This window comes from Homo sapiens, chromosome 11 (genome assembly GCF_000001405.40).
Source record: "Homo sapiens chromosome 11, GRCh38.p14 Primary Assembly".
NCBI classification, from domain to species: domain Eukaryota; kingdom Metazoa; phylum Chordata; class Mammalia; order Primates; family Hominidae; genus Homo; species Homo sapiens.
In genome coordinates, this window is record NC_000011.10 from 103,191,641 (window position 1) to 103,214,751 (window position 23,111).

The window sequence follows — 23,111 nt, forward strand, 5'->3', positions numbered from 1 at the left end:
CTTGTGTGTGTGTGTGTGTGTGCACATTTATTCTCTAGATTGTATTTGTAATAGATAAGTTAAATGCGTATTATATCACAAGTTATATTATTAAATAGAAATATTTTTATTAAAATTATTATATTTCTTCTTCCAAACTGTGTATGATTGTCACTATTAAAACTTCCTTTTGGGAAAAATGAAATCATTATATTTGAGGCAAAGCATATTTAGTATACTTTCTGGAATTATTTTTGTTGAACAACTAGAGATGATAGTATTTAATGTCATCTTTAAGTAATCACAAACATGTACCAACTTATTAACAAAATGAATTTTAACTTTTTTTCCTTTCTTCCATTTATCTGATGCCAAAATTATGGTATGTAGACACCTGCTATTTCTTTCTAATTTTATGTTAAACATATTATTTAAAAATCATTATATTACAATTAAATAAAATTTTGCCTTTTCTAGGATCCTCAAACCATCCACTAGATTATGTGTTAGAAATTGTAGCATATGAGGCACGGCGCTTATTTCGTGACAAAATTGTTGGTGCAAAGGAACTTCATTTATTTGACATCATTTTAACATCAGTGTTTCAAGGAGATTGGGGCTCAGACATATTAGACAATATGTCAGGTAAGGTAATAGAGCTTATGCAAATACATAACTATTACAAGGATTTCAGAAATTTTTTCTTACCCAGAGCATGATTTTATAGGTCTAAACAAATAAAAACTTTGAATAATTTTAATATTATTTTTCCGTAAGGTACAGCTCAGTCTTTTTTGCTGGATTTCAGTAATCATGTTTCAATCAAAATATAATGGCAATTATTTTTTTCTTAGAAAAAAGTTCAGGCCATACTGTTTTACATTGGCAATGCAAGATTATTTTAATAAAAGTTTTTTTTTGAAAAACAGTTACATGTATATAAAACATGAAGATCATTGGGAAAATTCATATTTGATTGTCATGACCTTTTGCCTAAGAGCAATGGCTATTCTTATTCCTGTCACTACGTATAATGTCATTAGCATAGAACTTACATATGCTTGTTACCATCTTCATCTATTGTTATTGTAAAGAAAGCTTAACACCAGTCAAAGCTGCTGTGTTGCATTTGCAACTATTACTGCTTAATAACCAATCTGCATTTTGAAAACTATCGTGGGAGTAATGTATGTAATATGAAAGTCATCCTTGTGAGAGGGCCTTTCATTAAAAGAAGATTGCAATATGGAAATATTTCCTAATAAAACTGCTGTCAGGCCACAAAAGGTGCTTATTTTTTCAGAGGATAAAGCTAGGCTTCAAAAATATTTTATATAATAAATACATTTTATACAATTACTTTTAATGGCAAAACCACAATTACTTCTGCACCAACATATACATTTAGTATATTGTACATTTCTAGATTTGATATTGGTCTGAGATCCATGAGTACCTATCCTAAAGGGAACTTCGAGGGTGGGAAAGATGTTTAGATTGACAGAAAGAATTTTCTAGGTGCTCCTGAGTTTTTGAATCAGGAAATGGGTTCAAGAGAAACTTCAAGAAGGATGAAATGCTGAGAGAAGCCTGATCATATTAATAGTTCAGAGTTTGCTTGACTTGGAGTGAGGGTTTATGTCATTATGACCTGTAGCTTGCATGGCTTAGTGTGGAGAAGCTTAGGTTCTTAAATGGTGCTATCTTTCTCAGTCTGAAAATTGAGTCAGTAGTGTCTCTTTTTGCAAAGAGTGGCATATCCTTTGGGCATAAGACAGTATTGGCACCTAATTGGGTGTCTGAATCCTCTGAAGAGTTTGGTATCTTTCACAGTCTCCTGTCTAAGACTCAATAAATAAAATATGTCTTTTTTTGTTATTTTTCTCTTCAGTGAAAGGTTTTCTTTTTCTTTTCTTTTTTCTTTTTCTTTTTTTTTTATTTTGAGACGGGTTTCATTCTTGTTGCCCAGGCTGGAGCGCAAAGGTGCAATCTCGGCCCACCGCAACCTCCGCCTCCCGGGTTTAACTGATTTTCCTGCCTCAGCCTCCCGAGTAGCTGGTATTACAGGCATGTGCCACCACGCCCGACTAATTTTGTATTTTTTTTTTAGTAGAGACAGGGCTTCTCCATGTTGGTCAGGCTGGTCTCAAACTCCTGAACTCAGGTGATCTGCCCGCCTTGGCCTCCCAAGGTGCTGGGATTAGCTGTAAGCCACCACACCCAGCCAGATTTTCTTTTTTAAAAATACAGTTTTGACATATATTAGATCTAGGCATATAGGATTTTCACATATTGAAAGATAAGCTTATTAAGAAAAATTTAATCTTGGAGACATAAAAATAAACTAGATACATTCTTGTCCTTAAGAAGATTGTAATCTAATGACAGAAACAGATATAAAAATCTTTGCTTACAATGATAACTATTGCTAGTGTGGTTAGATGCCACAAATGTTATAGCAGTTATAGCACCACAGGATCTATAATGTTACCCTTTTGTAGCCATACTCACTTCTCTCCCATCTCCTGGAAACTACTAATCTGTTGTTTCTTTAATTTTGTCACTTCAAGAAAGTTATCTTGACTCAACCTGTTTCTCTGGAGATACATGCCGATTGTTTTGTTTCGATAGCTCGTTTCTTTTTATTGCTTTTTATTCCATCATATGAATATACCACTCTTTTTTTAACCCTTTATCTACTGAAAGACATCTGGGTTGTTTTCAGTTTTTGGCTGTTAGGAATGAAGCTGCTATGAATACTCTTGTACAGGTTTTTGTGTGAACATACATTTTTGTTTTCTGTAATAAATGCTCAGGAATGCAATTGCAGGGTTGTGTGGTGCTTGCATGCTTACTTTTTTAAGCAACTAACAGGCTTTTTTTTATAGCGGTATTGTTCCTCATCATTGTCAGCATTTGGTGTTGTTACTATTTTGTATTTTAGCCATTCATGTAAGTGTATATAGATATGTCATTGTGGCTTTAATTTGCATTTTGCTAAGGGCTAGTGAACTTGAACATCTTTTTGTGTAATATTTGCTGTCTGTATATCCTCTTTGGTGGAATGTCTTCATTTCTTTTATCCATTTTTCCAATCAAATTTTTTTTTTTAATTTGAGACGGAGTCTCACTCTGTTTCCCAGGCTGGAGTGCAGTGGTGTAATCTCTGCTCACTGCAACCTCTACCTCCTGGGCTCAAGTGATTCTTCTGCCTCAGCCTCCCGAGTAGCTGGGATTACAGGCGTGCACCACCTCGCCCAGCTAATTTTTGTATTTTTAGTAGAGACGCGGTTTCATCATGTTGGGTAGGCTGGTTTTGAACTCCTGACCTGAAATGATCCACCTGCCTCAGCCTCCCAAAGTGCTGGGATTACAGGCATGAGCCACTGCAGCCAGCAATTGGTTTGTTACTGTTGAGTTTTGAGAATATGTGTATATTAGAGATACCAATCCTTTGTTGGATATATGGTTTGCAAATATATTCTCCCTCTCAGTAGGCTTGTCTCTTCATCCCCTTAGCAGGGTCTTTCACAGATAAAAAGTTTTTATATAATTTTGTGAAGCCTAACCTATCATTTTTCATCGTAAGGATCTGTTGATGTCAAGTTTAAGGAGTCTGTCTAGTTGTAGATCCTGAAGATTTTCTCCTATGTTTTCCTTAAAAGTTTATAGTTTTATGTTTTACATTTGAGTCAGTGGTCCATTGTGAGTCAATTTCTGTATAGTGAATGAGACTTAGGTCAAGGTTTATTTTTCTGCCTATGGATGTTTATTTACTCCAGCATCGTTTGTTGAAAAGGCTATCTTTCTGCCTGAATTGCTTTTGCAGCTTTGTCAAAAATTGGTAACATGGGTCTATTTCTGGGTTCTCCATTGATGTATGTATCTGTCCTTCTGCCAGTACCACACTGTCTTGATTAGCTACTATATGAGTTGTGAAATTGGTTTAGACTGATTCTTCCTACTTTAGACTTCTTTCTCAAAATTGTTTTAGCTATTTCTGTTTCTTTGTCTTTTCGTATAGATTTTAGAATAATCGTTTCTGAATCCATAAACAATGTTGCTGAGATTCTGATAGGAATTGCTTAAATCAGTATATTGATTTGGGGAGAATTGACATCTTTTCTCTGTTGAGTCTTCCCATTTTCTCCATTTATCTAATCCCTCTATTTATTTAGATCTTTGCTTTCTTTCATTAGTTTTGTGTAGTTTTCAGCATTCAAGTATTATACATGTTATGTTAGATTTATACCTAACTTATACCTAAGTTTTAAATTTGTTAAAACAATTGTAAGTGCTCAAACTGTGTTTTGAAGGATGAATATAGTAAGCGAAGGATATTCCAGACAAGGGAAAAACAATGTGCAAAGAAACAGAGGCTTGAGAAAACTAGAGTATATAGTGCAGAGAGAGATAGAAGATTCAAACAATCAGTGAAGCCAGATTGTGGAGGGCCATCATTAGGAGTTTGGTGTTTTGTTTTGTTTTAAGAAGTGGAAAGCTATATGGGATATTGCAGTGGTGTGGCACAATCAGGTTTTGTTTTTATATGTGTTATGCTAGTGGTAGTAAGGATGTACTTGAGGAGGCAGAAACTTATAGCAGGGATACAAGGTAAGAGCCTACTGCAATAGTCCAAGTGAGAAATGATGAGATGTGAGGATAATAGTTCAGTTTTGTACATGTGCTTTGAATGTTTGCAATCTTTCTTCATGTCTTTTGGAAATCTACATGGAGTTGATCATTTATGAGGGTAGGAATCATGTTTGTCTTACTCAATACTTATCTCAGGCAGAAAGTACCTTGTTTAAACACAGGTGCTCAATAGGTAAGTATTGAGCCAATGAATGCATGAATTATATGTCTGTTAAGCAATTGGAAGTACAGGACTAGCCCAGAACATAGGAGTTTTGCCTAAAGATAAGTAGTAGGTGAGTTTTTGGTATATAAATTATTGATAATTTAACTGACAAAAAAAGATTAAATGATTCGGGGAGAATTTTAGAATTAAAAGACTAGAAGGCTGAAATTGGACCCCAGGGAGTATCAGTATATAAGGGATAAAGCAGAAAACTGAAAAGGACTGGTAGTTGTGGCGTGATAAGTAGGGTTACATAGATGCAAGCACAAAAGAAGAGATGCACAAAGGTCATGTTGGGATAATGATTGCAAAGAAGATTTAGATTTGGAGATTATGACTGTATTATTGTTCCCAAATAAGTTTTAGTATAGTAGCCTGTACAGATAGAAAATAATGTAAAAAATGTGATGGTGAAAGTAGGGAGAACATGACATAGCTTGGATCTAGGGAAGGTAAGGTTGTTTTTTTAGGGGAGTTTGGAACTGAGCATGTGACAAGGATGCTTGGTGGAACAGTCTCCCAGAAGAGTTGGGAAGGAAAAAGTTCAATAGAATGATGAATAGACTTTCCTTGTATGGTAACAGGAACATTGCTATAGGTAGATTTAAGGGAAGTTTGGGGGATTTTTGTTTTCTAATTGAAATTTGGTCAGTTTTTTTTTTAAACATTAGGGCTCTTTTTGGTATTAATACATCTATGTCCTTTCTCAAGGAGAGTTTTGAGATTGTTTTATTTGCTAATTTTATGTGAACTATTTTTAATTTACAAATTTTATGTAGATTCTGAAATAGAAGGAGGAAAATGGGACAAACTGAGAATAGACAGTGGGGAGTAGTGGGAGAAAGGTAGAAGGAATCCAGTTCATTTCAGGAGAAAGAAGTGAGGGGGCAGAATATAGACTAGTGGTGCCATCAGTCACTTTTCAGGTAGAGTTTGATATTGCAATTGAAGGTCTTTGTATTTCTTTTCTATTTATTTATTTTTTTGAGATAGATCTCACTCTCTTGCCCAGGCTGGAGTGCGGTGGTGCAATCATGGCTCACGGCAGCCTTAAACTCCTGGGCTCAAGTGATCCTCTTGCCTTAGCTTCCCAAGTAGCTAGGACCACAGGTGCGTGCCACCACACCTGGCTAATTTTTAAATTTTTTATAGAGATGGAGTCTTGCTATGTTGCCTAAGCTGGCCTTGACCTCCTGAGCTGAAGTAATCCTCCTGCCTTGGCCTCCAAAAGTGCGGGTATTATAGGCGTGGGCCACCTTGCCTGGCTCAGTCATTGTATTTCACCTGATTTTATTGACCTTACAATGTACACTTTAAAGTATTTTGCCTTTGCCCTTCTGGAGATGATCTTATTTGGATTATTAACTTAAAAATGTTTTAGTAGGCAATGTATTTGTTGAACTCTCATTACGAGTAATGCATATAAAACAAAAATATCATTTATTTCCACAGATAGTTTCTACGTTACATGGGGAGCTCGGCATAATTCAGGAGCAAGGGCAGCCCCAGGACAACCATTACCTCCACATGGAAAACCACTTGGAAAACTAAACTCTACTGATCTCAAGGATGTTATTAAAAAGGTATAATATGAATCATTAATTGGAACTGGGATTTGGTCATTATAGTCTTTTAAAAATATTTATTGTAAATATTTAGAGGGCATGAATATGATAGATTGTAGAATAGGCAAAGCTGGTTCTTATCTTTTGGAATTTAGTCCATTGTGGCGGATGTAACGAGATGTGCCTGTACTTACATAGATATGTGTAAAATTGCTAAGATACATTTTGGGCAAAGGTATGTTGGAAATATTAATGAGGTTTAATATTAATCAGGAAATTACTCTGGAGCAGTGGTTGTCAAACTTTAGAGAGCATTAGAGTCATGTAGAGATTAGAAAATATGCAGATTCCTGGGTCTCATCCTCTTAAGTGTCAGATTCATTAGGTGACCCAGGTAGTCCAGATGTCTAAGAGGCTCCCAGATGATGTTGATGCTGCTGGTCCACTGAAACTTTGAGTAGTGCTATCCTAGAGAGTTTCTTTCTCTTTTAAAGTTTAGTTATAATCAAGAAGAAGAAACAGTATTGCAAATGATTGCTTTAAAAATTAATATTTATATTGAATGTTAGTGTGGATTTTATATCAGGAAACATTTTTTCATGGTCTGGTAAACTGATTCGCCTGGAATGGATGTTGCAAAGTTTTGAAGCGTTGAAAGTTGTTAAATATGTAAAGTCTAATTTTCCTTTCTCCCTTCCTGCACTCTATCAGGTAGTCCCTGGCAGAGCATGGTACCTGTGTTAGCTTTTGATTCATTCCCAAGCAATGCGAAAGAACAAACATTCACAAAAGATTTTTTAGGCACTAGATTTCTAGAGTTTGGGGATTTTTTTCATGGTCTATGCACACTGATTCATGACAACTGATAAAATTTGAGCAATTTTAAAGTTTTATAATTAACCTGCTATCTCATGCTGCTTTTTATTAGTGTAGCAGTGACCAAAAGTAACTGATTTTCACGGACCCTTGAACTTGTTTGACATGAGTTTTTCCTTAGAGAATGCCAATATATTTATCCAGGATTACCAGACATATAAAATATTGAGTGTGAGATGATATGTAGTCACTTTACTTTTTTTCTTGAATGTATCAAAAATATAATATTTTAACCTAGGTAAGTAACATTTTTATTATGTAATTAGGGCTTATATTAATTATAAAATATTCTGATTTTTTTAAAAGGGTCTTATTCATTATGGACGAGATAACCAGAATTTAGACATTTTACTTTTCCACGAAGTCTTGGAGTATATGTCTAGGATAGATAGAGTGCTGAGTTTCCCTGGAGGTTCACTTCTATTAGCAGGACGCAGTGGTGTAGGTCGTCGGACCATCACTTCTTTAGTCAGTCACATGCATGGAGCGGTCCTGTTTTCTCCAAAGATTTCCAGAGGATATGAACTGAAGCAGTTCAAAAATGATCTCAAACATGTGAGTTGCCCACTCTCTTTTGCTTTATTTGGTTTTAAATTACATTGGTTATTACTCTAAACATCTTTAAAGACCTAAAGGTTTAAAGAACTAAAGTTTTAAAGAACATCTTTAAAGAACTAAAGTTCTCTGTTATACAATGTAGTCTTTATTTTAATTTAGATTATTTTTTCCATGATTATTAGAAAATTACATTTTTATCTATAGACAGGAAAGAGAATACTATTAGAATTTCTAGGAAGCAGATACTCCAGGTCATGGGATGTTAGACAGACATGAATGGTAAACAGAAGGATGGAATTTACATAGGAAATATATGAGTAGAGATAAAAATGATCTACTTGTTTTAATTTTAATGGCCTAGCTGTAAAATAATTAGTATTTACTTAGGGGTTGGATTTACTTTCCAAATTATGTGGCTAAAGTTTGATTTTTAATTATTAAAATGGAAATAAATGAATAAATAAACACATGATACTGGCATACTTTACATACAAATACAAAATGTTAATTTTTAACTGTACCAAAAATACTTAAAGGGCACTAAAAAATATTTTCTGATTTTGCAGGTGCTGCAACTTGCAGGAATTGAAGCACAACAGGTAGTTTTACTTCTTGAGGATTACCAGTTTGTACATCCTACATTTTTGGAGATGATCAATAGCCTTTTGTCTTCAGGCAAGTGAACAGTTTCTTTTCGAAGAAAATAAAAATAATGGCATAAAAATTATCCAAGTAAAATTATCTTGTGCAAAATTTATTTGTTTTGGAGAACTTTTGGCATAGTTCTTACTTAGGAGACATGGTGTTAAACATGCTCATGGCAGGAGAATTGAGAGACTCCATTTTTATAAAACCAATAATTTAAGACATATAAAAATTGTTAATATTGAGTATTGGTGAATATTCAGAAAAATTGACTTTTACATATACTTTTGCTGGGTTATTATCTGTTATAACCTTTGGGAAAATTATCATCTAGGACTTATTAAAAGCTGTGCCATACTCTTTGATGTACCATTCTATTATCTGTAGGAATTTAACCCACAGAAATAAAAGAAGTAGTATGTAAGAAAATAGGTAGTATAATTTATAATCACAAACATTTGATAGAACCTTCCTATCAGTAGTGGCATGGTTGTATAACTATATAATAGTATGGCCTTAGTATGGATATATGAATATACATATACTCCAGATATATGAAATTCCACATAATGCTACACATTAGTGCCCACATTTCATGTGTCTGGAATATAGTTGCATTCATTAACCTGGAAAAATGCACATTCTCCTTCTTCAGTTGGATATTACAAATCAAGTAATAAGTAATCTTGTTTGTTTGCTTGTTTGTTTATTTATTTATTTTGAGGCAGAGTCTTGCTCTGTCGCCAGGCTGGAGTGCAGTGACATGATCTCGGCTCACTGCAACCTCCCCCTCCCAGGTTCAAGTGATTCTCCTGCCTCAGCCTCCTGAGTAGCTGGGATTACAGGCATGCGCCACCATGCCTGGCTAATTTTTGTAATTTTAGTAGAAACAGGGTTTCACCATGTTGGCCAGGATGGTCTCGAACTCCTGACTTCAGGTGATCCTCCCGCCTTGGCCTCCCAAAGTGCTGGGATTACAGATGTGAGCCACCGCGTCTGGCCAGTAATCTTGTTTTTTAAAAGAAGAAATTAAAATTATTTTTAAGGAAAAAAGGAACTTATATGTACTTTATGCATCTGTATAATAGAAAAATACCACTTGAAAGAGGACTATCTTAATACAAATACTCTCTAGAAATTTATGGCTAAGTGGGCTCTCTATGTATCTGGAATTCTATGGATTGTAGAGATATTTATTGTTTTATGTTTTCAAGATTTCTATGGTTTGAAAATCATTACTTGCATTTTGCCTCTGAGATAAGTTCGAGTCTTGTTTTTCCTCTGAGATATAACATGAAGCACTGTCCATTTATATTCCTCAGCATTTCTCACCCCTAATTGCACGTTAGAATCACTAGGATAATTAAAAACAACAACAACAACAACAACTAAAAACGAATTCTTTGCTACTACCCTAAATCCATTGAATTAAAATCTCTGGGGTATGGTGGGAGTATCATTTGGCTATTGTGACTCCCTAATTGAGTCTCTGCAACCTGAACTAAGAACTGTTGCTACTCTTCTCCTGTGGCTCTGTCCCCAGCAAACTGTGGTACTCTCCTGCTGTCTGTGGTGTTACCTGACCTTTTTGGTGTCTTCCTGGGGAGGACACTTGCGAATTCCTATATTTCTTCCTTTTTTTTGAAGAATTTATGAAGTTTGTTAGAATATTTCTATGAGTAATCACTGTTAGTGATTGGGAGGAAGTAGCTTAGTTTTAAACTTGGATCAAGAGTGTTTTGTTATTTAAGTACAAAATAAACCTTAAAAACTAGTTTCAATTGTATGGGTGGTATCACTGTGGGGATCAAAGGACAAAGTTATATGAACTCATTTTCAACTCAGTTTTCAATAAATACTTGCTTTGTATCATGCTAGTGCTCTGAGGAGAAATTTTCTTCAGAATTTAACAGCTTTGGTTAAATAATAAGTAATATTTAAACATTAGTGCCCAGATGAGAAATACAGACCAGGATGCTCTAATTAGACAAGTGGTAGATCCATTTCTGTTAAAAAGTTGAGGGATAATGGCTTAGTGAAAGTAGTAGTACTTGAGTGGACTTAGAGCGTTCCATCTTTTGATATTTAAGGAATACATTCCTGCGTATTGCTTCAGTTGTCACTAGATGGAGACATTGTTCATTTTGGCTGATGAGACCAGAAACACAGATTTTTTTTTTTTTTTTTTGGAAAGCAAACATTCAGATAAGCACTAACCTAATAATCATTATTTTAAGACAAATTGGTCTTTATTATCAAGATATAATCGTAAAAATGAGAAGTCAAATCTTGGCATTTTATTTTCAGAGGAGGTATTCAGTAGGCTTGGTTTCTTTTTTCTATTTCAAATTCTTATTCCCTAATGTGTATAATATATAGATAGAGCTGACATTTTTTGCTAAATTTAAGGAATCAAAAATATCTTGGTATGTCTAAAATTTGAAGAAAAACATATACAGATTTATGTGTGCATGTGTTCAAGTATGTACAAGCTTGTGGGGTGGGGGTGGTCTGGTGCCTCTTAGTTGAACCTAAAGAAAAGTAGGGATCAGACTGTGATGGGCCTTATATGAATGCATTATTTTGGATGTGTAGCAAAGGACTTTTCACTTAATGTTATAGTTTCTTGTGAATTGTAAACATATTGGCTTAACAAATATTTATTAAATGCCTCTTATATGCAGGACCAAGTTTTAAATACTGTTACAATTTGTAGAAGTGAACAAGATGTGCTCCAGGCCCTCTATCTTTAAGTCTGTCTTTAAGACTAAAGTTGTAGTCTTAATCAACTTTGATTTGCCTTTCATCATTCTATTCATCATCATGATTTGGCCTGCATAGTAGCAGGCCATGGACCAGTTCTTCTGATTTCTAGTACAAGTTCATCTTTTCATTCATTCATTTATGTAAAACATATTTTTGTTCTAGATACTTAGGTAAGAATATTCTAGGGTTAAATGTTGAACATTGTCAAATATTTGTCCTCAGAAATTTAAAGTCTAATTGGAGATAAGAAGGAAGTAATTCATTATTAAATGATGTGATAAGTGCTAAAAAGTGATATATTTGAATAGTATGTGAAAGAGAAAGAGTGTTTAATCAGCATATGGGCAGTCAAGAAAGGCTTATGGGCATAGCAGTTAGGGAAGTAGCATCTTGAAGGATAAGAATTTATTGGGTATCAAGATAAGGGGCAGAGGATGACTGTAAGTATACATTCCAAGAAGAGAGAATATTTTGTTGTGTTTATGGAACACAAGTTTATTGAGGCTAGAGTACAAGGTCTTATGGAGGAAGATGGAAAAATAACCAGTAAAGGTAGACAGATGGCTAGTGTATGACTATTTTGAGTGGTTTGCTTAGGTGTTTGAATTTTATCAAATGAGGGCTATAGATAAAGATTTGTGAGTCAAGTAGAGGTAATAAAGTTTGTATATTTTTGGAAATAAAGATTGAATAAGAGCAGATTTTTAAATACAAAAATTGAAAAAGCATCATTTATTAAAATGTTTTCAATTAGTCTAATATTTTTCTGTAGGTGAAGTTCCTGGACTCTATACTCTTGAAGAATTAGAGCCCTTGCTGTTACCACTTAAGGATCAAGCTTCACAAGATGGTTTTTTTGGACCAGTCTTCAATTACTTCACATATAGTAAGTGACATAGAATTCATTAATCAAATCAAACTGGTTTGTATGAAATATATATCATTTAATTTGCCTTATTTTGTCATTAGATTGCAAAGGTATCTTAAATCTTTTTTCTGGAGCTTTTAGAAAGTAACACCTAACTAGTGGATAGGCTAACCTATAATAAAAACACCTGTATTAGTCTGTTTTTCCACTACTGATAAAGACTTACCTGACACTGAGCAATTTACAAAAGAAAGAGGTTTATTGGACTCACAGTTCCCACATGGCTGGGGAGGCCTCACAATCATGGTGGAAGGGAAGGAGGAGCAAGTCATATTTTACATGGATGGCAGCAAGCAAAGGAGGGCTTGTGCAGAAAAACTCCTGTTTTTAAAACCATGAGATCTCATGAGAGCCATTCACTATCATGAGAATAGCATGGGAAATACCTGCCCCGCTCCATGATTCAATCATGTCCCACCAGGTTCCTCCCGCAACACGTGGGGATTATGGGAGCTACAAAATGAGATTTGGGTAGGGACACAGAGCCAAACCATATCAATACCTTAGCAAAATTTTAGCAAACAGGAATGATGAAAGTATGGTAATGTTCTTTGGAATATTTACCTTGCCTCCTTTGTTTCATGTGGTGAAATTAGTGCTGCTTTAGTACCTCCTGTCTTAAAGAACTATTGAACCATTTAGATTGTGCCAGACTTCATAGTTTTAAAAAACTAGCCTTTTATTCTTATAGAAACAGTTTTATATGCACTGTAGAAATCCAAAATTGAAATAAGTAAAAAATGAGGCAATAATCACACCACCCAGACATTATGACACTTACATTTTTCATGGACATTTTTCTGAGTCTTTTTTCTTAACATGCACATACACAAATTTATAAGTGTTCTTTTAACTAAAATAAAAATCATAACATAATATTGTTTTATATTGTGCTCGTTTTAAGAAACAACTCCTACTATTTCATTTGAGAAAATTTTGATCTCTTTAACCCAGACCACGTATAGATTGCCTGATTGTATTATTATTCTTATATATTTCTTAGGAATTCAGCAAAACTTGCATATTGTCTTGATAATGGATTCTGCAAATTCAAACTTCATGATAAACTGTGAGAGTAATCCAGCTTTGCATAAGAAATGCCAGGTGTTGTGGATGGAGGGTTGGTCCAATAGCAGTATGAAGAAAGTAAGTTTAACAAATATTAAAAAATTTAAAAGCACATTTTATTTTTGAAGTTATTGATTTTCACAACTTCTCTTTGGTGTTGGTTATAACATCACCTTAATTATGGCACCAAACATCTCTTATGTTTGGAAATGTCTGTTTTCTTCGTACTCTTGCATCATAATTTAGTTGAATGTAGAATTTTAGATTGAGGATCATGTTCTTAATTAAGGACCCCAGAGACAACTATACTTTAAAATTTTATGGCTTTAATTAACTAGCCTATTACAGGCTGTCCTAGATTTTTAAAAAATCATAGCAAGTATTTAACAATTAAAGAATTTTTAAATCCTTAAAAAATATCATCACTATGCTGTGTGTTTGGAGGGGGATGAGTTAAATTGTGAACTCATAACACTATCTTAACTGGAAGCCTCTTATTTTACCTCATTTGAATAAGTAATAATTTCAACATTGTTTGTTTAAATGATATTCATATTCTCAATCACTAATTTCTTTATTTTTCTATAAGAGAAGTATAGTTTAATGCCTGCCATGATTCAGAGTAAGGAGTGTAATTGGAGATAAAAGACATGGTTTACAGATGAGGTAATATTTTAGTTACTGAAAGATATTTTAGCTTGAGGAGGCCACGTGAATAAGAGGCATTCATTAAGAAGTAATTATTGGGTGCTTAGTAAGTACCACTGTTCTATATATGTTGAGGACATAGCAGACGAAAAAAAACCAGAGAGAAATCCCTGCCCTCATGGTGTTTACATTCTTCTCAGGTATATCTGCGGGGAAAGCTTTCTAGGTGAAGATCCTGGGTAGAGAGCATGTCTGATGATTTTGAGGATCAGTAAGAGGCAACTTCACCTGGAGCAGAGTGATTGAGGGGAGAGTTGGTGAAGATGATGTCAGAGAACTAAGAGGAAACCAGTTAGGATGGGGCTTTGTAAGCTACTACACTCTATAGGATTTCAGCTTTTCCTGAGAACTAACTTACTTTTGGATGCTTTCGAACAGAAATATTCTGACTCATTTTTTAATGGGATTACTGTAGTTTCTGTGCTGAAAGTAGACTATAGAGAGCAATGGTTGGAGCAGTTACAAATGATTGCAGTAATCCAGAGAGAAAAGGATAGGTTGGGCTAAGGATGTAGTGGTAAGGTGGTGAGAAATGGTTGTATTCTGCATACATTTTGCAGTAGAAACAACAGGATTTGCTGACAGATTGTAATAAGGTGTAACAGAAAGTGAGGGGTCAATGATCCTTCTGAATATTTGGCTTGAGCAACTAGAAGGATGAAATGACTATCATTTGAGACAGAGGATACTGTGAAAAGAACATATTAAGATGAGACTATGAGGCCTTCAGTTTTAGATGTGTTAAATATGAGATACCAGACATTGAACTTATAAGTTTGGGAAGGCATTTGGAAATATAAGCCTGGAGCTCCAGGGGTCAGGCATACAGAAAAAAATTTGAGGAATTATCAGAGTGCAGGTGATATTTAAAGCTATAAGAATGAATGATATCACCAAGAGAGTAAGAATAAACAAAAGAGAGCAGCAATCCAAGACTGAACCCTAGGGCACTTCAACATTAAGAAACTGGAGAGATGAAGAGGAAGAACCAAAGGACACTGAGAAGCAGCTGCTAGGGAAATAAGAAGAAAACCAGACAAACATTATATTTTAAAAACCAAAAGAAGATAGCATGTCAAAGGAAGAAAGTATGATGAACAATGAAAGTAGATAAGGACTAGGAATTGATCATTGGGTTTAGCAATGTGGAAATCGTTGGTGACTTTGATGGAGCAGTTGCAGTTAGTAATGGAAAAAGCCGTATTGGAATACGTTTCAGAAAGAATGAGAAGATTGGAGACAATGAATGTGGGTACACTCTTTTAAGGAATTTTGTTTAAAGGATGAGAGAAATGGGTCAGTAACTGGAGGAAGGAGGGGTAAAAATAGTTTTGTTTTTTTTTCCAAGACAGAGTCTTGCTCTGTCGCCCAGGCTGGAGTGTGGTTGTGCAATCTCGGCTCACTGCAACTTCTGCCTCCTGGCTTCATGCGATTCTTCTGCCTCAGCCTCTCGAGTAGCTGAGATTACAGGTGCCTGCCACCATACCTGGCTAATTTTTGTATTTTTAGTAGAGATGGGTTTCACCATGTTGGCTAGGCTGGTCTCGAGCTCCTGACCTCAATTGATCCACCTGCCTCGGCCTCCCAAAGTGCTAGGATTATAGGCGTGAGCTACCGTGCCTGGGCCTGTTTTTTTTTTTTTTTTTTTAAAAAAAGATGGGACACACTATAGTATGTTCATATGCTGTTGAGAATGATTTAATAGGGAAGCAAAAAATATGTGATGCAAAACAGGGAAAAATTGCTAGAATAATATCATTGAGTAAGTGCACAGCAAATGGATCTAGTGTACAAATGGAAGAATTAAGGATCGGCATTTCCTATGAGAATGGAGGAATCATTTGTGATAACAGGAAAGAAAGCAGAATAGAGGGGGATAGATCCAGGTAGGTGGGCAGGTATGGTACTGGGAAGTTTGGGATACTCTTTTCTAATTGTTTCTATTTTCTTAGCGAAATAGGAAGATTATCCCCTGAGGGAAAGAATGAGGGAGGAGGCTTTGGAGGCTTAAAGAGACACAAGAAGACATGGAAAACAGTAGTTTGGGAGAGTGAAAGAGGGAAAGGATTAGGAGAATGGAGTATGATAGGATTCACTTGAGGTTAGTGATCATGGAGTTCAGTAGAGGCCAAACAACATAGTTGTGTGTTTTTTTCTCAAGCCATAGGTGCTTTGATGGATGCAGACCTTGAGTAGGTGGTGACTTAGATTTGATCAGAATTGGGACTTTGGTGCTTGAGTATGACAAAACAATTGAAGGCAAGAGAGTTGAGAATATTTATAAGAATATAATTATTTTGATTTACCATGGAATTTAAGTTGGTAAGGTGGTAAATTAGGATAGGAAGATGGTGAATGACAGTGAAGAGGTGGTCAAATTGGTAGATAGTAGGTTTCAGTGGAGTTTCAGGATTTTGATGTTGGAAGGGAGTAAGCTGGGAAGACAGGAATATAGTGATAGAAGAATGGGATGTTTGAAAGTGAGATTATGGAAGGATTTCACTTAGTGATAATTACAAAATCTCATGATTTGACTGTGTAGGTGAGTGGCTGACAAAAGGTTGGTGGCTAAGAGGAGAAGAGGCAACCAAGGAATTGAGACATGAGGGTATTAGAGGGATTATCTATAATGGATATTGAAATTGAAAATAATTAAGAAGGTAAGACAAGGATTGTGTTGGAAAGAGTGACAGTGAGCCAAGAGCTAAAATTATTTGTGGAATGAAGAAATGATTGGACTGGTAGATGCCTGCACCATGGAGGGTTAGTGGTTACTCTAGCCTGATAATATGAAAACTGAATTTAGGGAGCTTAGTGAGGATGATTTTGAATTAGTGATGAAGTACAAGAGGGCACTGCCTTGAACTTGCACTTGCAGGCCCAGTGGTTCAAGGACATGATATTGCATGGTGTGCTTGGGAAACAGAGAGTTCATGTGGCTGCTGCACAGGGTATGTGGAACATTGTAGTGGGAAATATCATTAAAAGCCAGATTGGGGACAGTTAAGGAGGGGAAGTGTTTAAGTGCCATAACTTTGAATTTTATTTAATAAGCAACTAGAAGCAATTGAAAGTTAGTGTGAAGGGGTTGATAGGATCCATCAGTTTTGGATATGTTAATGTATGAAAATGTTAATATATGTTATATATTATGTTATGAATATGTTAATATATGAAATATATGAGAATATGTAATAGATGAAAATAAAGCAAATTAATAGGCTTACTATGCCCATTCAACTCTTTAAAAAGTACCATTTTTACTTCAAGGGAAGGAACAGGGGCAAATCAGGCCAGCACACTTTGCTAATGTAGGATATTGTTTGAGGATAGACCATTTTAAAGAAAACGAGTTCCCAAAGAAACAAATTAACGTTGATTTAAAAATATAAGTTTAAAATATTCTCGTATAGGTTTAAGTGTTTTGTCAGAAATCAGTGAAGGCATACTCTCTGTCACAAGAATTATGGTACATTCGAACTCTGCATTAATGAAGACATCTTTTGGCTTACATTTTTTTTTCAGTCTGAGAAATTTAAAAAATGATTTTTTGACCTAATTACCAAGATCACTTGTGTTTTCTTCTTGCTGGTAACTTCAGCTCTATCAGGTGAAAGAAATTGAAGCTATTTGGCTTAATTTAAAATTTCAAAATTGTTACTTTAATTTTTTTTCAGGACACTAAACTTTCTTTTGTATATTCTAAAGTAGCATTCTTATAAGGTTATCTTTACTTTAATAATAATGATATCTGCTTATGAAACTGTATTTGCTTATTTACAGTAGTGGCAAAATTCCAGTCACAGTGAGAATATACTTTTTAGAATGATCAGTTATGAAATTATTGATTATAAAATTATTTTTATTTAATTTTAGTTTTTTTTTGAAAAAGCTAAGAATCCTTGCTACCCCACTATGTCATGAAGGCATTTTACTAGTTTTATGCCAAATAAAATATTTTTATTATTGTATGTTTTTAAATGACATTGTGATTATTTTCTAATTCAATCCAAATTGTAATTTCCTTTACTTCATATAGTCTCACCATTTCAAGTGAGCTTTTCCCAGTGTGCCATTGCAATCAGTTAATGGTTGATGTGTGTCAAAATGTTGTCTTGGAAATCATTTCTTCTAAAGATTTCTGTATTATTTTTGTCTCTTAGTCTGGAATGAATCCTAGAAGAAAAGTACAATCAATACTGACTTTTTTTGTATTAAAGGTTTTTAACTTATGATATGGGACTTATACTCTTTCATAGTGATATTCTTTTTATGTTTTAGATACCTGAAATGTTATTCAGTGAAACAGGTGGTGGAGAAAAATACAATGATAAAAAACGAAAAGAAGAAAAGAAAAAAAATTCAGGTAGTATTTTGATAAAATCAGTTTGATCTGGTTTTTATTTATGAAATAATTGCCGTTTTTAATGCTACAGATCCATTAAAGATTCATGATTATAAATTTGAATAATGCTAAGTGTAACAAAATTAGATTTCTTCTGATGCAAACAAAATTTTGAAGCCCTTTTTATTTTTAAATTAATGGTATGTCATTTAACCTAGAACCCAACAGAATATCTACTGTGTGAGTTCAAGAAGTTTAAAACTTATTTTTCTGACCTGAGTGATTTGAAGGACCTACTTAAATTGTTTAGAGTCTTTGGCAAGCAACCTAAACTTTTCATATTAGCTTATCACTTAGATATGGCACAGAACTCTATAATTTATATATGAAAAAGTTTTATGACATTCTTTGAATATGGGCTTAATCTTCTTAACTATAATATTCTCATTATTTTCTCTTCAAATTAATTTTGATTGTGGTCTTTATTTTTATACCATAGCTTATTAACTTATTTATTTAACCATCTAATAATCAAATATTTATTGAACTTGTTTTATACTGTACTGGGCTGGATATTAGAGATCACTTGGTAGCTCATAGTCCAGTGATAGTGAGAATTGTGTTATATATAAACATAAATTTCTGATATAGCAAGATAAGTGATAGTAGAACTTTCTATGAAATAATTGGAAAGTAAAACTTCAGACTAGCAGATATTATAGGAAATAGACATTGCCCAGACGGGCAGCTTGAGAAAGTCATTCTGGTTAGAGTGAGTAACATGGGAAAGGTTTGGAAAAGTGAAACAGGCATCTTATGAAACTATAAATAGCCTAAAGGGCTGAAACATAAGATGTATAAATAAGTACTAGATGAAGAGGGAGGAAAAGGTTGGCATGGTCAGGTAATGAAGAGCTTTCTGCATTATGCTAAGGAGTTTGGATTCTAACTTGCAGGTGATAGGGTATTATTGAGAGATTTAAAAGGAGATTTTACCAGAATTTCATTTTAGAAACAAATATCTTTATATATCCCTTTCTTCAGTTATTGGAAAATAGATTGGTAATAGGAGAAACCAAAAGCAATTACATCACTTTAGAAGTTTGTTGTAGTAATCTAAGAGAGACAAGATGAAGGCCTAAACCAAAGAAGAAGTAATAATAATGGAGGAAGGAATGGACTTGGTGGATATTAGGAGGTAATCTAAATGAGACTTGATGATTATGTAATGGCTGTGGCACACAAGAAGAAGAAAGAGTCGAGGATGTTTTTTGGGTTCTGTCTTGGAATATTCATTACAAATTGATTTCATTCACTGGGGCAGGGAATACAGATGCAAATTGTGTCGGTGAGAGGAATATAATGTGTTTGATCATGGATATATTGAATCTAGTGTGAACTTATTCTTAACTTTTTGGCTTTTGAAGTCTTGTTTCTCCCTGTATCAAATGGGAGTGGATAGGTATTTTGTGTATTGCTTTTCTGTTCAGCAGATTGTATTTAGCTCACTTTTGGATTACTGTACATGTGTTATATAGTCCCAATTAATTTATATGTTATGACAACATGTAGATTTATTTTTCTTGCAACAATAAAGATGTTCAGGGGAAATATATAACAATATATAGATGCTACTAAAACTAGAGAACTCAAAATTCCTAAGGAAGATGGGAGCTGTGAATAGTTGTCTAGGAATGCCTGTGCATCTTTAAGCAAAGATGCTATCTCATATTTATAACTATATAGCATGGAAGTATCTTGTATAAAATAACTATCATTAGGATATTTTCTCTTATTTTTAATGAATCATACATATAATAAGTTATTTTTATTTTCTATTTTTTTCTAGTTGATCCTGATTTTCTAAAATCATTTTTATTAATCCATGAATCTTGTAAAGCATATGGTGCTACACCAAGCCGATACATGACCTTTTTACATGTGTATTCTGCCATTAGTAGTAGCAAGAAAAAGGAATTATTAAAAAGACAAAGTCATTTGCAGGTATAGTATTGGTAATCTTGAATTATTTTATCTATATATAGGAAACAAGAGTTTTGTAAATCACAATGCTATGTTGCGGGTGGCATATATCTGGTATTAATAAATGTACTGTATTAAAAGCCTTGGAAAACAGTCTCACTTTCCTACCTATATTGCCCTGTAGGTTTTAGTGATGATTTGTATTTTTTTTAAAATTCAGTGGTTATTTCTTTTCTTCGCTGGTTGGCATTTATGGATTTTTGATAGCTTATGGTACTCTCTTTAAGAGTCTCTTTCACATGAAAACATTTTTAGAAATTAAGAAAACTCTGTTATTCAGCATAAGATGATACAGTGGACTTTGGGGACTTGGGGGTAAGAGTAGGGTGGGGAGGGATAAAAGGCAACAAATATGGTGCAGTGTATACTGCCCTGGTGATGGGTGCACCAGTATCTCACAATTCACCACTAAAGAACTTATGTAAGCAAATACCACCTGTACCCAATAACTAATGGCAAAATAAAATAAAATAATAATAAAGAAAAAAGAAAACCCTGTTATTAACTGAAACATAATATCCAAGATTATATTTTATAATAACCTTTAAAATTAAGATTATATTTTATAAAGTAATGTTTTCATCCATGTCACCTCACTTAGTACATTCTGAACAGTTTTCTTTCCGTATTTCTTTAACTATAAAGCTTTAACTTAAATGTGACATTAGAATGTCAGCCTCTGAAGTTGTTAGAGAACATTTCCTCTCTAAAGTTTTAGTTTCCCTTTGTTAGGGTAGTAAAGTAGGCTCCATCTTAATTGACATAATTATCTTAATCATTTCTAATGATTCACTTTCATTTATATTAAGGTACTAACTATACGGGCTTTGGGGAGGGTTAATTTCCTGATTTAGTTCTCTATGGTACTTTGGATAAATCACTTTAACTTACTGTTTTGCAGCTTAATTGGGTCAATGGTAGTTGTATGTGAGTGTATTAGATAAAATTCATATGGAAAAAACTTAGCTTAATACCTGTACTTTATGATGGGTGCTCAATAGTTATTAATTACATTCCTTTTTTGCCATTACTCTTTCCCCAAATCTTCTGATTTGTTAGGTGACAAAAACATGATAGAAGGTAAAGAATTTTTTTCATGTACATCCCTGGGTTCATTATTCTGCTGTTTGCACAGTAGGATGGGGTACCATAATGGCCAGGCCAGGGTGAAATGTCTACTCAAAATGCAGGTAAGGCAAGTGAATGACAGCCCACCAGAACCATATGTGAGAAAGTCTCTTACAAGAAAAATGAATATTAGACAGACAAAACCAAGTCATGTCTACTATAAAAAACAGTGACTCTTGAGTCCTTTTTCCCAATCAGTGAGACTAAAATTAGAAAAGGTTTAGTGAGTTACCCCTTGCTTGCTATTTTCTCTCCCATCTAATGTAATGGTAAAAAGTGTTTTTTATTAAGTTCAGTGTTTAAACTATCAAATATGTATTTATCTGTTTAGCTTTTCTATGATGCTTTTTTTTAAGTCTTATGGATTTATTTTAAAATGTTATATATAATGATAATTTTATTGATATTTATGGGGTACATGTGATATTTTGATTCATACAAGAATGTGTAATGATCAAAGGGTGATTAGTGATGTTGAACATTTTTTCATATACCGTTGGCCATTTGTGTGTCTTTTAAAAAAAAAAAATCTATTCAGATCCTTTGCCTGCTTTTTAATGGAATTCTTTGTTGTTGTTGTTCAGTTGTTTGAATTTCTTGTATAATCTACATATTAAGCCTCTTGTCAGATGAACAGTTTGCAAATATTTTCTCCCATTTAACAGGTTGTTTATTCACTCTGTTAATTGTTTCCTTTGCTGTGAAGAAGCTTTTTACTTTAATATAGTCTCATTTTTCTATTTTCATTTTTGTTGCCTATGCTTTTGAGGTCTTAACCATAAAATATTTGCCTAAACCAATGTCCTGGAGCATTTCCTCAATGTTTTATTCTAGAAGTTTTATAGTTCCAGGTCTTTTGTTTAAGTCTTTAATTCATTTTGAGTTGATTTTTTGTATATGATGACAGAAGGAGGTCTAGTTTCATTCTTTTGCATGTGGATATCCAATTTTCCCACCACCATTTAATGAAGAGGGTGTCCTTTTCCCAATATATACTTTGCTGAAAATCAGTGGACTATAAATACATGAATTTATTTCTGGGTTCTTTATTCTGTTCCATTGGTCTGTGTGTCTGTTTTATACAAATACTGTGCCGTTTTGGTTACTGTAGCTTTGTAGTATATTTTGGAGTCAGGTAGTGTGATGCCTCTAGCTTTGTTCTTTTTGCTCAGGATTGCTTTGGCTATTCAGGCTCTTTTGTGGTTTCAAACAAATTTTTGGATTTTTAAAAAAATTTCTGTGAAGAATGTAATTAGTATTTTCACAGATATTACATTGAATCTGTAGATTGCTCTGAGTAGTATGGCCATTTTAACAATACTAGTACTTCTTCTTCTTTTTTTTTTTTTTTTGAGTAGGAGTCTTGCTCTGTTGCCCAGGCTGGCATGTAATAGTGCGGTCTTGGCTCACTGCAGCCTCCAACTCCTGGGTTCAAGAGATTCTTATGCCTCAGCCTCCCGAGTAGCTGCGATACAGGCAGGTGCCACCATGCCTGGCTAATTTTTTATTTTCAGTAGAGATGGGGTTTCATCATGTTGGCCAGGCTGGTCTGGAACTCCTGACCTCAAGTGATCCACCCATCTCAGCCTCCCAAAGTGCTGGGATTAGAGGTGTGAGCCACTGCACCCAGCCACAACAATG

General features: G+C 34.3%; 1 protein-coding gene across 6 annotated transcripts in view; it reads left to right on the plus strand.

Annotated features, from left to right (window-relative positions):
- Positions 1 to 23,111, plus strand: part of DYNC2H1 (dynein cytoplasmic 2 heavy chain 1) — a 370,438-nt gene that overhangs the window by 82,215 nt on the left and 265,112 nt on the right. For 4 of the 6 annotated variants that reach the window (NM_001080463.2, NM_001377.3, XM_017018291.2 and 1 more), the window contains 8 exons: positions 457 to 624; positions 6,293 to 6,423; positions 7,588 to 7,836; positions 8,406 to 8,514; positions 12,023 to 12,136; positions 13,182 to 13,324; positions 18,236 to 18,320; positions 20,149 to 20,303. In NM_001080463.2, coding sequence (NP_001073932.1) covers positions 457 to 624; positions 6,293 to 6,423; positions 7,588 to 7,836; positions 8,406 to 8,514; positions 12,023 to 12,136; positions 13,182 to 13,324; positions 18,236 to 18,320; positions 20,149 to 20,303 — 1,154 coding nt within the window. Of the gene's footprint in view, positions 1 to 456; positions 625 to 6,292; positions 6,424 to 7,587; positions 7,837 to 8,405; positions 8,515 to 12,022; positions 12,137 to 13,181; positions 13,325 to 18,235; positions 18,321 to 20,148; positions 20,304 to 23,111 lie in introns of those variants that run through there. The other 2 variants (XM_006718903.3, XM_017018293.2) reach the window with 2 other exon arrangements.